At 37.6% G+C, this 13216-nt stretch overlaps 1 annotated feature.

Moving 5' to 3' along the window:
• Positions 4884-5384: an enhancer, noted in NCBI's record as "H3K4me1 hESC enhancer chrX:5398809-5399309 (GRCh37/hg19 assembly coordinates)". NCBI's record gives its function as "activates a minimal SCP1, AML or CMV promoter by ChIP-STARR-seq in primed H9 embryonic stem cells {active_cell/tissue: H9 hESC(primed)}" and the evidence as "EXISTENCE:reporter gene assay evidence [ECO:0000049][PMID:30033119]".

The raw sequence follows: 13216 nt of genomic DNA, 5'->3' as shown, positions 1-13216 counted from the left end.
GGACATGAACTCATCATTTTTTATGGCTGCATAGTATTCCATGGTGTATATGTGCCACATTTTCTTAATCCAGTCTATCATTGTTGGACATTTGGGTTGGCTCCAAGTCTTTGCTATTGTGAATAATGCCACAATAAACATACGTGTGCATGTGTCTTTATAGCAGCATGATTTATAATCCTTTGGGTATATACCCAGTAATGGGATGGCTGGGTCAAATGGTATTTCCAGGTCCAGATCCCTGAGGAATCGCCACACTGACTTCCACAATGGTTGAACTAGTTTACAGTCCCACCAACAGTGTAAAAGTGTTCCTATTTCTCCACATCCTCTCCAGCACCTGTTGTTTCCTGACTTTTTAATGATTGCCATTCTAACTGATGTGAGATGGTATCTCATTGCGGTTTTGATTAGCATTTCTCTAATGGCCAGTGATGATAAGCATTTTTTCATGTGTTTTTTGGCTGCATAAATGTCTTCTTTTGAGAAGTGTCTGTTCATGTCCTTCGCCCACTTTTTGATGGAGTTGTTTGTTTTTTTCTTGTAAATTTGTTTGAGTTTATTGTAGATTCTGGATATTAGCCCTTTGTCAGATGAGTAGGTTGTGAAAATTTTCTCCCATTTTGTAGGTTGCCCGTTCACTCTGATGGTAGTTTCTTTTGCTGTGCAGAAGCTCTTTAGTTTAATTAGATCCCATTTGTCAATTTTGTCTTTTGTTGCCATTGCTTTTGATGTTTTAGACATGAAGTCCTTGCCCATGCCTATGTCCTGAATGGTAATGCCGAGGTTTTCTTCTAGGGTTTTTGTGGTTTTAGGTCTAACGTTTAAGTCTTTAATCCATCTTGAATTCATTTTTGTATAAGGTGTAAGGAAGGGATCCAGTTTCAGCTTTTTACATATGGCTAGCCAGTTTTCCCAGCACCATTTATTAAATAGGGAATCCTTTCCCCATTGCTTGTTTTTCTCAGGTTTGTCAAAGATCAGATAGTTGTAGATACGCGGCATTATTTCTGAGGGCTCTGTTCTGTTCCATTGATCTATATCTCTGTTTTGGTACCAGTACCATGCTGTTTTGGTGACTGTAGCCTTGTAGTATAGTTTGAAGTCAGGTAGTGTGATGCCTCCAGCTTTGTTCTTTTGGCTTAGGATTGACTTGGCGATGCGGGCTCTTTTTTGGTTCCATATGAACTTTAAAGTAGTTTTTTCCAATTCTGTGAAGAAAGTCATTGGTAGCTTGATGGGGATGGCATTGAATCTATAAATTACCTTGGGCAGTATGGCCATTTTCACTATATTGATTCTTCCTACCCATGAGCATGGAATGTTCTTCCATTTGTTTGTATCCTCTTTTATTTCCTTGAGCAGTGGTTTGTAGTTCTCCTTGAAGAGGTCCTTCACATCCCTTGTAAGTTGGATTCCTAGGTATTTTATTCTCTTTGAAGCAATTGTGAATGGGAGTTCACTCATGATTTGGCTCTCTGTTTGTCTGTTGTTGGTGTATAAGAATGCTTGTGATTTTTGTACATTGATTTTGTTTCCTGAGACTTTGCTGAAGTTGCTTATCAGCTTAAGGAGATTTTGGGCTGAGACAATGGGGTTTTCTAGATATACAATCATGTCGTCTGCAAACAGGGACAATTTGACTTCCTCTTTTCCTAATTGAATACCCTTTATTTCCTTCTCCTGCCTAACTGCCCTGGCCAGAACTTCCAACACTATGTTGAATAGGAGTGGTGAGAGAGGGCATCCCTGTCTTGTGCCAGTTTTCAAAGGGAATGCTTCCAGTTTTTGCTCATTCAGTATGATATTGGCTGTGGGTTTGCCATAGATAGCTCTTATTATTTTGAAATACGTCCCATCAATACCTAATTTATTGAGAGTTTTTAGCATGAAGGGTTGTTGAATTTTGTCAAAGGCTTTTTCTGCATCTATTGAGATAATCATGTGGTTTTTGTCTTTGGCTCTGTTTATATGCTGGATTACATTTATTGATTTGCGTATATTGAACCAGCCTTGCATCCCAGGGATGAAGCCCACTTGGTCATGGTGGATAAGCTTTTTGATGTGCTGCTGGATTCGTTTTGCCAGTATTTTATTGAGGATTTTTGCATCAATGTTCATCAAGGATATTGGTCTAAAATTCTCTTTTTTGGTTGTGTCTCTGCCCGGCTTTGGTATCAGAATGATGCTGGCCTCATAAAATGAGTTAGGGAGGATTCCCTCTTTTTCTATTGATTGGAATAGTTTCAGAAGGAATGGTACCAGCTCCTCCTTATACCTCTGGTAGAATTCGGCTGTGAATCCATCTGGTCCTGGACTCCTTTTGGTTGGTAAGCTATTGATTATTGCCACAATTTCAGATCCTGTTATTGGTCTATTCAGAGATTCAACTTCTTCCTGGTTTAGTCTTGGGAGAGTGTATGTGTCGAGGAATTTATCCATTTCTTCTAGATTTTCTAGTTTATTTGCGTAGAGGTGTTTGTAGTATTCTCTGATGGTAGTTTGTATTTCTGTGGGATCGGTGGTGATATCCCCTTTATCATTTTTTATTGCATCTATTTGATTCTTCTCTCTTTTTTTCTTTGTTAGTCTTGCTAGCAGTCTATCAATTTTGTTGATCCTTTCAAAAAACCAGCTCCTGGATTCATTAATTTTTTGAAGGGTTTTTTGTGTCTCTATTTCCTTCAGTTCTGCTCTGATTTTAGTTATTTCTTGCCTTCTGCTAGCTTTTGAATGTGTTTGCTCTTGCTTTTCTAGTTCTTTTAATTGTGATGTTAGGGTGTCAATTTTGGATCTTTCCTGCTTTCTCTTGTGGGCATTTAGTGCTATAAATTTCCCTCTACACACTGCTTTGAATGTGTCCCAGAGATTCTGGTATGTTGTGTCTTTGTTCTCATTGGTTTCAAAGAACATCTTTATTTTTGCCTTCATTTCATTATGTACCCAGTAGTCATTCAGGAGCAGGTTGTTCAGTTTCCATGTAGTTGAGCGGTTTTGAGTGAGATTCTTAATCCTGAGTTCTAGTTTGATTGCACTGTGGTCTGAGAGATAGTTTGTTATAATCTCTGTTCTTTTACATTTTCTGAGGAGAGCTTTACTTCCAAGTATGTGGTCAATTTTGGAATAGGTGTGGTGCGGTGCTGAAAAAAATGTATATTCTGTTGATCTGGGGTGGAGAGTTCTGTAGATGTCTATTAGGTCCACTTTGTGCAGAGCTGAGTTCAATTCCTGGGTATCCTTGTTGACTTTCTGTCTCGTTGATCTGTCTAATGTTGACAGTGGGGTGTTAAAGTCTCCCATTATTAATGTGTGGGAGTCTAAGTCTCTTTGTAGGTCACTCAGGACTTGCTTTATGAATCTGGGTGCTCCTGTATTGGGTGCATATATATTTAGGATAGTTAGCTCTTCTTGTTGAATTGATCCCTTTACCATTATGTAATGGCCTTCTTTGTCTCTTTTGATCTTTGTTGGTTTAAAGTCTGTTTTATCAGAGACTAGGATTGCAACCCCTGCCTTTTTTTGTTTTCCATTTGCTTGGTAGATCTTCCTCCATCCTTTTATTTTGAGCCTATGTGTGTCTCTTCATGTGAGATGGGTTTCCTGAATACAGCACACTGATGGGTCTTGACTCTTTATCCAATTTGCCAGTCTGTGTTTTTTAGTTGGAGCATTTAGTCCATTTACATTTAAAGTTAATATTGTTATGTGTGAATTTGATCCTGTCATTATGATGTTAGCTGGTTCTTTTGCTGGTTAGTTGATGCAGTTTCTTCCTAGTCTCGATGGTCTTTACATTTTGGCATGATTTTGCAGCGGCTGGTACCGGTTGTTACTTTCCATGTTTAGTGCTTCCTTCAGGAGCTCTTTTAGGGCAGGCCTGGTGGTGACAAAATCTGTCAGCATTTGCTTGTCTGTAAAGTATTTTATTTCTCCTTCGCTTATGAAGCTTAGTTTGGCTGGATATGAAATTCTGGGTTGAAAATTCTTTTCTTTAAGAATGTTGAATATTGGTCCCCACTCTCTTCTGGCTTGTAGGGTTTCTGCTGAGAGATCTGCTGTTAGTCTGATGGGCTTCCCTTTGAGGGTAACCCGACCTTTCTCTCTGGCTGCCCTTAACATTTTTTCCTTCATTTCAACTTTGGTGAATCTGACAATTATGTGTCTTGGAGTAGCTCTTCTCGAGGAGTATCTTTGTGGCGTTCTCTGTATTTCCTGAATCTGAACGTTGGCCTGCCTTGCTAGATTGGGGAAGTTCTCCTGGATAATATCCTGCAGAGTGTTTTCCAACTTGGTTCCATTCTCCCCATCACTTTCAGGTACACCAGTCAGACGTAGATTTGGTCTTTTCACATAGTCCCATATTTCTTGGAGGCTTTGCTCATTTCTTTTTATTCTTTTTTCTCTAAACTTCCCTTCTCGCTTCATTTCATTCATCTTCCCTTGCTGATACCCTTTCTTGCAGTTGATCGCATTGGCTCCTGAGGCTTCTGCATTCTTCACGTAGTTCTCGAGCCTTGGTTTTCAGCTCCATCAGCTCCTTTAAGCACTTCTCTGTATTGGTTATTCTAGTTATACATTCTTCTAAATTTTTTTCAAAGTTTTCAACTTCTTTGCCTTTGGTTTGAATGTCCTCCCGTAGCTCAGAGTAATTTGATCGTCTGAAGCCTTCTTCTCTCAGCTCGTCAAAGTCATTCTCCATCCAGCTTTGTTCCGTTGCTGGTGAGGAACTGTGTTCCTTTGGAGGAGGAGAGGCGCTCTGCTTTTTAGAGTTTCCAGTTTTTCTGTTCTGTTTTTTCCCCATCTTTGTGGTTTTATCTACTTTTGGTCTTTGATGATGGTGATGTACAGATGGGTTTTTGGTGTGGATGTCCTTTCTGTTAGTTTTCCTTCTAACAGACAGGACCCTCAGCTGCAGGTCTGTTGGAGTACCCTGCCGTGTGAGGTGTCAATGTGCCCCTGCTGGGGGGGTGCCTCCCAGTTAGGCTGCTCGGGGGTCAGGGACCCACTTGAGGAGGCAGTCTGCCCGTTCTCAGATCTCCAGCTGCGTGCTGGGAGAACCACTGCTCTCTTCAAAGCTGCCAGACAGGGACATTTAAGTCTGCAGAGGTTGCTGCTGTCTTTTTGTTTGTCTGTGCCCTGCCCCCAGAGGTGTAGCCTACAGAGGCAGGCAGGCCTCCTTGAGCTGTGGTGGGCTCCACCCAGTTGGAGCTTCCCGCCTGCTTTGTTTACCTCAGCAAGCCTGGGCAATGGCGGGCGCCCCTCCCCCAGCCTCGCTGCCGCCTTGCAGTTTGATCTCAGACTGCTGTGCCAGCAATCAGCGAGACTCCGTGGGCGTAGGACCCTCCGAGCCAGGTGCGGGATATTATCTCCTGGTGCGCCGTTTTTTAAGCCCGTCGGAAAAGCGCAGTGTTCGGGTGGGAATGACCCGATTTTCCAGGTGCGTCTGTCACCCCTTTCTTTGACTCGGAAAGGGAACTCCCTGACCCCTTGCGCTTCCCAAGTGAGGCAATGCCTCGCCCTGCTTCGGCTCGCGCACGGTGCGCTGCACCCACTGACCTGCGCCCACTGTCTGGCGCTCCCTAGTGAGATGAACCCGGTACCTCAGATGGAAATGCAGAAATCACCGTCTTCTGCGTCGCTCACGCTGGGAGCTGTAGACCGGAGCTGTTCCTATTCGGCCATCTTGGCTCCTCTCAGGTCAAACGTTTTTATTCACTGAAATAAGTGAAAAAACTTATTAGTGGCATTTTAATTTTAAATTTGTTTAATTTGCTCATAAATATAAATGAATTAACTCTAAGTAGTTACATAAAATATGAATGTGTATGATGACAGAAATTAAAATGAAGCACTTGTCAGAGTTTACAAGTCACAGAATTATACATAAATGAAATTGCCCTCTAGAGGTTTTTTGTTGTTCTTCACAAGTAGTAATGACTGCCTATCAGTAAGATGTTAAATTTATCTAATATAATACACAATTTTATTTATAATTAAAAATTTATTGTTTGTTTATCAGAGAAGTTCAAAATATAAGTTGTTTATTTTTTAAACTGGTTAAATTGTAGCCCCAGTGTGTTGTTTAAAGGTCTCTTTGAGCCATGGCCTTGCCTAGGGGAATATCACTTATCTTTCAAATCTGATTGAATTTTAAACTCTGTCTAGAAAGCTTTTAATTTTATATTTATATTTGGATAATGTTTCCACGATAGAAAGTATCGAAATAGATATATGCCTATACCTATAGTATAGTATAGATAGATAGATAGATAGATAGATGTAGTATATATATAGTAATTTGTATAGGAGCTATATAGTATGAATAATGTTATTTTTTCATATTTTAGTGAGAATTTGATATGCATATATAATATGCTTTTATCAATTTTTTAGATATGTACAAGGAAACTTGGAGAATTAAGGTGAAACAGAAATTATTGAGAGGTTTTTGTTTGTTTGTTTACAACATACCTGTTCAATATTTTGAAGTTTCTTTAGTATTTATTTCTTCATTGAAATAATTCTCCTCACATATTGCCATTAAAATAAAAGAATAAATGTCAATTTATTGATTCAACGAGTTTAATTCACATAATGTTAAAACTGATTTTAGGATTAATGACCATTTAAGAGCATATTTCCTTGAATTAGAAGTGAAAGTTATAATGCAATGTTTCTATATAACAGTTATTTAAAAAAAAACAAGTTAAAATTTTTAAATAGAATGACAGTAACTCTAAGTTGTTTCCCAAACTATGATAATACCTTTAGCAAAGCTAGAGGGGGACAAAAATAAATGTCTTTTACTGTTCTGCAAGACTAAAAGAAGAAATTAAAATATGATTTGTTATAAAATATTTATTCTACATAGATCCAATTCTCATCTCTTAATAGATTTTTGGTATTTTATACTTCCTATTAACAAAAGTAAAATTCTAGCTGCCCAAACAACTTATTCTGAGTGGTTTTCTTTTCATTAAACACACAAACATTATTTTATCCTTAAGAAACAAAGGACTTATTCAAAAATTTGTTAATGTAATAATTATACTTTAAATACTAATATGTATTACAGAAAAGAAGTAATTATTACATACTGGTAACTAACAACTTGGTCAATTAAATAAAATTTAATTATTGATAACTCTTATGTGTATTAACTATATTTATGTTGTATGAAGGAGGCACTATTACTAATTGTAATACAAATTAACACAGAAGAATATTTTTTCACAAAGCACCTTGTTGCCACGGAATAAAACACACATAAACACCATAATGTGGATGTACTGTGTTAAGAATTAATATGTTAACTCTTTTGATTGTGTTCTTAATGCTAAGTTTTTTGTCGAATTCTTAATTCACCATTTTGAACAGAAATTTGAATTAATAAGTGTACCAGTACTTGTTTTAGGAGTTATTTAGATTTTAATTTTTTTTCTTTTTTTAGGGGACAGGGTCTCACTCTGTCACCCAGGCTGGAGTGCAGTGGTGTAATCTCGGCTCACTGCAACCTCCGCTTCCCGGGTTGAAGCAATTCTCCTGCCTCAGCCTCCCGAGTAGCTGGGATTACAGGCATGTGCCACCATGCCTGGCTAATTATTATTATTATTATTATTTTTTTTAGTAGAGATGGGGTTTCTCCATGTTGGCCAGGCTGGTCTCGAACTCCTGACCTCAGGTGATCCACCCACCTCGGCCTCCCAAAGTGCTGGGATTACAAGCGTGAGCCACAGTGCCCAGCCTAGTTTTTAAATTCTGAACAAACAAAAATAACGATATTTTAGGGAATTCGAAACAGTAAGTATACCAGTATTTGTTATCAAAGTTATTTGGTTTTGGAAGTTGAACTGTAATTTGAATTAGTAAGTTAAACAGTGTTATTTTATATTAGATCCCACAGGTAAACTACTGTGATTTGAAAATTTGAAAAAGTGGATTACTGTTAGTTTGAATTTTAATTAATAATTGACAAAGTACCTATTACCAGAGATATTTGAGCATTGAAATTTGGTGTGAGATATGAGCTAATAAGTATATAAATGTCATTTGGAATTGGGGTTAATATATGTACCAGACCTTGCTACAGTCTTACTATGTGTTGTTAATTTTACTTCAGAATTCAAACAGTAAATATACTACTGTTATTTGGAAATAGGAATTGGATTCAACTTCAATTTAAATCAGTATGTATATCAGTGTGATTGAGAATTTGAGTCAGTAAGTGCACAATTGTGAGTTATCTGCTTTATTTGGATTATGAAATTTAAAAATAAATTTGAGCTAATAATTAACCAATGTTATTTCCATTTGGAACTAATAATAAGTGTGCTTACTGGAACTTATTTGTGTTATTGGGATTTGAAAATTTCAATTGGAAATTCCAGAGTGTTAATTTGAAATTTTAAATATATATTATAATTGAATAAATATATTAGTGTTATTTATCATTAATGAGAATAAGTACACCAGGATTTTGAATTGGGGTTATTGGACTTTGAGATATAAATTAAACTTTCAAGTGAAGGCATATGTGTTATTTAGAATTTTAAATAAAACATACATCAGGTAGTGCTTGCTATGAAGTTTATTTGGATTTTAAAATTGTCACTGGAATTGGAACTTATAAGTAAACCAATGGTATCTTGAATATGAGCAAATAACTGTATCAATGTATTTTGTTTTGTCTTTTAATCTTTCACTTTAGGGAATTTAGTTTGAATAAATAAAGATAGCATACTTATATATAACGTTAGCTAAGCAGTATTACATTTTCACAAGCATGTTTTATCAAAATCAATTATTTTGAATCTGATCTAATGTGTAAGCTAGTGTTATTTGGAATTTGGATACATAAGTGGAATAATGCTAGTTATTGGGGAAATGTACATATAGTGCAATTTTAATTGAAATTTGAGAGATAATTACACTAGTGTTATTTTTGCACTGAGTCTAAAAAGTTTACCTGTCCTTATTAATGGGTGTTTTTAGATTTGGGGATTTTAAGTGGATTTTGAGTTGTTAAGACTACCAGTGTTAGGCCAGGCGCAGTGGCTCACGCCTGTAATCCCAGCACTTTGGGAGGCCGAGGTGGGCGGATCACAAGGTCAGGAGATGGAGACCATCCTGGCTAACATGGTGAAACCCCGTCTCCACTAAAAATACAAAAAATTTAGCCAGGCATTGTGGCGGGCACCTGTAGTCCCAGCTACTCGGGAGGCTGAGGCAGGAGAATGGCGTCAACCTGGGAGGTGGAGCTTGCAGTGAGCCGAGATCGTGCCACTGCACTCCAGCCTGGGCGACAGAGCGAGACTCCAAAAAAAAAAAAAGACTACCAGTGTTATAAAAATTTCAACCACAAAGTGCATCAGTACCTGTTCAAAGACTTTAGGAATTTAGAATTTTACATGAAAATTTAACTAATAATTAGAATATATACAAATAAGTACATAAATGACATTCTAAATATGAGCTTTAATAAAATCAGCTCTGCTGCTATCCACATTTTAAATTTGAAATGTTTAATTGAAATTTGAGCTGGTAATTCTACAAGGAATATTTGGAATTAGAATAAGTTTACCATTTGTTAAAACACTGTTAGTTGGATTTTGAATAGTGAATTGAAACTCAAATTAATAAGACCTACAATTTCATGAAAAATTTGAGTCAATAATTATTCCATGCTTGTAATCAGAGTCATTTGAATATTGAAACTGGAATTGAAATATGAACTATATAAGCACACCAACGTTAACTAGAATTTTTTTTTTTTTTTATTTTTTTTTTGAGACGGAGTCTTGCTCAGTCGCCCAGGCTGGAGTGCAGTGGCGCAATCTTGGCTCACTGCAAGCTCCGCCTCCCGGGTTCATGCCATTCTCCTGCCTCAGCCTCCTAAGTAGCTGGGACTGCAGGCACCCACCACCACACCCGGCTAAATTTTTTGTATTTTTAGTAGAGATGGAGTTTCACTGTGTTAGCCAGGATGTTCTCAATCTCCTGACCTTGTGATCTGCCCGCCTCGGCCTCCCAAAGTGCTGGGATTACAGGCGTGAGCCACCAGGCCCGGCCTAGAATTTTAACCTAAAATTGCACCCATGCTTGTGGTCTGATTCATTTACACTTTGGATTTGAAATGAAATTACAATTAATCACTGCACCTGAGCTTGGTATCAAAGTTACTTGCTTATCAGCAAGAGACCTAATAAAGACATCAGTGTTACTTAAAATTTAAAGTAATAAGTACATCAAAGTATGCTATTAGTTTTATTTGCATTTTGGAATTTGAATTAGGATATAAGTTAATAAGTAATCAATCTCATTCAGAATTTGAACTTCTAGGAATGCTATGACTTATTAGAATGTGCATGTGTTTGCATGTGTTATTTAAAATTTGAACTAATAATGACATCTGTACTTGTTATGAAGATATTAAGTATATTCATGTCATTTGGAATTTTGACAGAAGGTCAGCAGCGGTTTTGAATTTTTACTGTGGTTGAATTTTGGTATATTAGTCAAAATTTAAACTCATAATTCCAATAGTATTGTTAGGAATTCCTATCAATAAGTGCATCAGATCTATTTGGGTTTGGAAGTTTAATTTGGAATTAAGATGACCTCGGGTGTTACTTGTAATTTGAAGGAATGTGCACACTAGTGATTGTTATAGGAGATATTAAATACTGGAAATGAAAATCAAGCATGAACATAGCTATACATCAGTATTTTGTTATTGTTGTTGTTTATGTTATACTTTTTTTTTTTTAACATAGTTATCCATTATGTTCCCTGGATTGACTTGGTACTCAACTATTCCCTGGAATGATTCAGTACTCCACTGTTTTCCCTGACTGATTGGTCATGTGGTCTTTTTCCTGGATTAACTCAGGCATTGACTATGTTCCCTGGATTGACTCAGCGCTCAACTCTTTCCCCTGGACTGACTTGGTGCTCAATTCTTTCCCCTGCACTGACTTGGTATGTGACTCTCTTCCTTGCCTGCATTGACTTGGTCATCAACTGTGTTCCCTAGATTGACTCAGTACTCCATGCTTTTCCCTGGACTGACTCGAAGGCTTTGTTCACTCAGCATATTTTTAATAGAATTACGTATATTCTGTGTATCAATAGTTTGTGCTTCTTCATTCTCAGTGTATGAAAACAGCAAAGTTTGTTTTTCCCTGGACTGACTCAGTAGTTAACTGTGTTCCCTACACTGATTCTTTTGCAACTGTGTTCCATGACGTGACTCAACTGTTTTCCCTGGACTGATTTAATCATCCACTGTTTTTCCTACACTAACTCAATAATCAACTGTGTTCTCTGGATTGACTTGGTACTTGACTGATTTCCCTGGAATGATTCAGTACTCAACTGTTTTCCCTGGATTGATTGGTCATCAACTTTTTTTTTCCTGGATTAACTCGGTCATTGACTGTGTCCCCAGGATTGAATCAGGGCTTGATTCTTTCCCCTGGACTGACTCAATGCTCAACACTTTTCCCTGAACGATTCGGTAGTAATTAACTATGTTCCCTGGATTAACTTCGTCATTGACCATGCTCCCTGGATTGACTTGGTACTCAACTCATTTCCCTAGACTGACTCAGCAATTAACTGTGTGCCCTAAAATGACTCAGACATTGACTGTGTTCCCTGGATTGACTTGGTACTCAACTGTTTCCCTGGGATGATTGGTCTTTGACTCTTTTTCCTGGAGTAACTTGACCATTGACTATGTTTCCTGGATTGACTTGGTACTCAACTCATTTCCCTGGACTGACTCAGTATTCAACTCATTTCCCTGGACTGACTCAGCAAATTAACTGTGTGCCCTGGAATGACTCGGTCATCAACTGGGTTCCCTGAATTGACTTGGTACTCAACTCATTTCAATGGACTGACTCCCTACTCAACTCATTTCCCTGGACTGACTCAGCAGTTAACCGTGTGCCAGGAAAAGACTAGGTGGTCACCTGTGTTCCCTGGACTGTTTGGTACTCGACTCTTTAACCTGGATTGACTCAGTCATGGACTGTGTTTCCCAGACCATGGGCATTGTGTCCCTGCCTGTCATTCCCCCTCATCACCTGTTTTCCTTGGAGTAACTCAGTCATTCACTATTTTCCATGCTGAGGGCATCTTCATGCCATCCTGTCATTAATGCTTTCCTGGACTGATTTGGTCATAGAGAAAATTTTTGCAATCTATCCACCTGACAAAGGGCTAATATCCAGAATCTACATGGAACTTAAACAAATTTACAAGAAAAAAACAAACAACCCCATCAAAAAGTGGGCGAACGATACGAACAGACACTTCTCAAAAGAAGACATTTATGTGGCCAACAAACCATTATCACTGATCATTAGAGAAATGCAAATCAAAACCACAATTAGATACCATCTCATGCCAGTTAGAATGGCGATCATTAATAAGTCAGGAAACAACAGATGCTGGAGAGGATGTGGAGAAATAGAAACGCTTTTATACTGTTGGTGGGAGTGTAAATTAGTTTAACCATTGTAGAAGACAGTGCGAATAGCATTAGGAGAAATACCTAATGTAGATGACGAGTTGATGGGTGCAGCAAACCACCATGGCACATGTATACCTATGCAACAAACCTGCACATTCTGCACACGTATCCCAGAACTTAAAGTATAACAAAAATAAATAAATAAATAAATAAATAAAAAGAAAAGTGTCTGTTTATGTCTTTGGCCACTTTTTAATGGGGTTGTTTTTTTCTTGTAAATGTATTAAAGTTCCTTATAGATACTGGATATTAGGCCGTTGTTAGATATGTAGTTTGTAAAATCTTTCTCCCATTCTGTAGTTTGTCTGTTGTTCACTCTGTTGTTAGTTTCTTTTGCTGTGCAGAAGCTCTTTAGTTTTTAGATTACATTTGTCAATTTTTGCTTTTGTTGCAGTTGTTTTTGGCATCTTCATCATGAAATCTTTGCTCATGCCCATGTCCTGAATGGTATTGCCTAGGTTGTGTTCCAGGGTTTTTATAGTTTTGGGTTTTACATTTAAGTCTATAATCCATTTTGAGTTAATTTTTGTATATAGTGTAAGGAAGATGTTTAGTTTCAATCTTCAGCATATGGCTATAAAGTTCTCCCAGTGCCATTGTTGAACAGGGAATCCTTTCCCTATTATGTGTTTTTGTCAGGATTGTCAGATAGATAGTAGATCTATCAGATAGTTGTAG

This window comes from Homo sapiens, chromosome X (genome assembly GCF_000001405.40).
Source record: "Homo sapiens chromosome X, GRCh38.p14 Primary Assembly".
NCBI lineage: Eukaryota > Metazoa > Chordata > Mammalia > Primates > Hominidae > Homo > Homo sapiens.
Note: the sequence above shows the minus strand (reverse complement) of the source record. Positions and strands in the feature narration are given on the sequence as shown.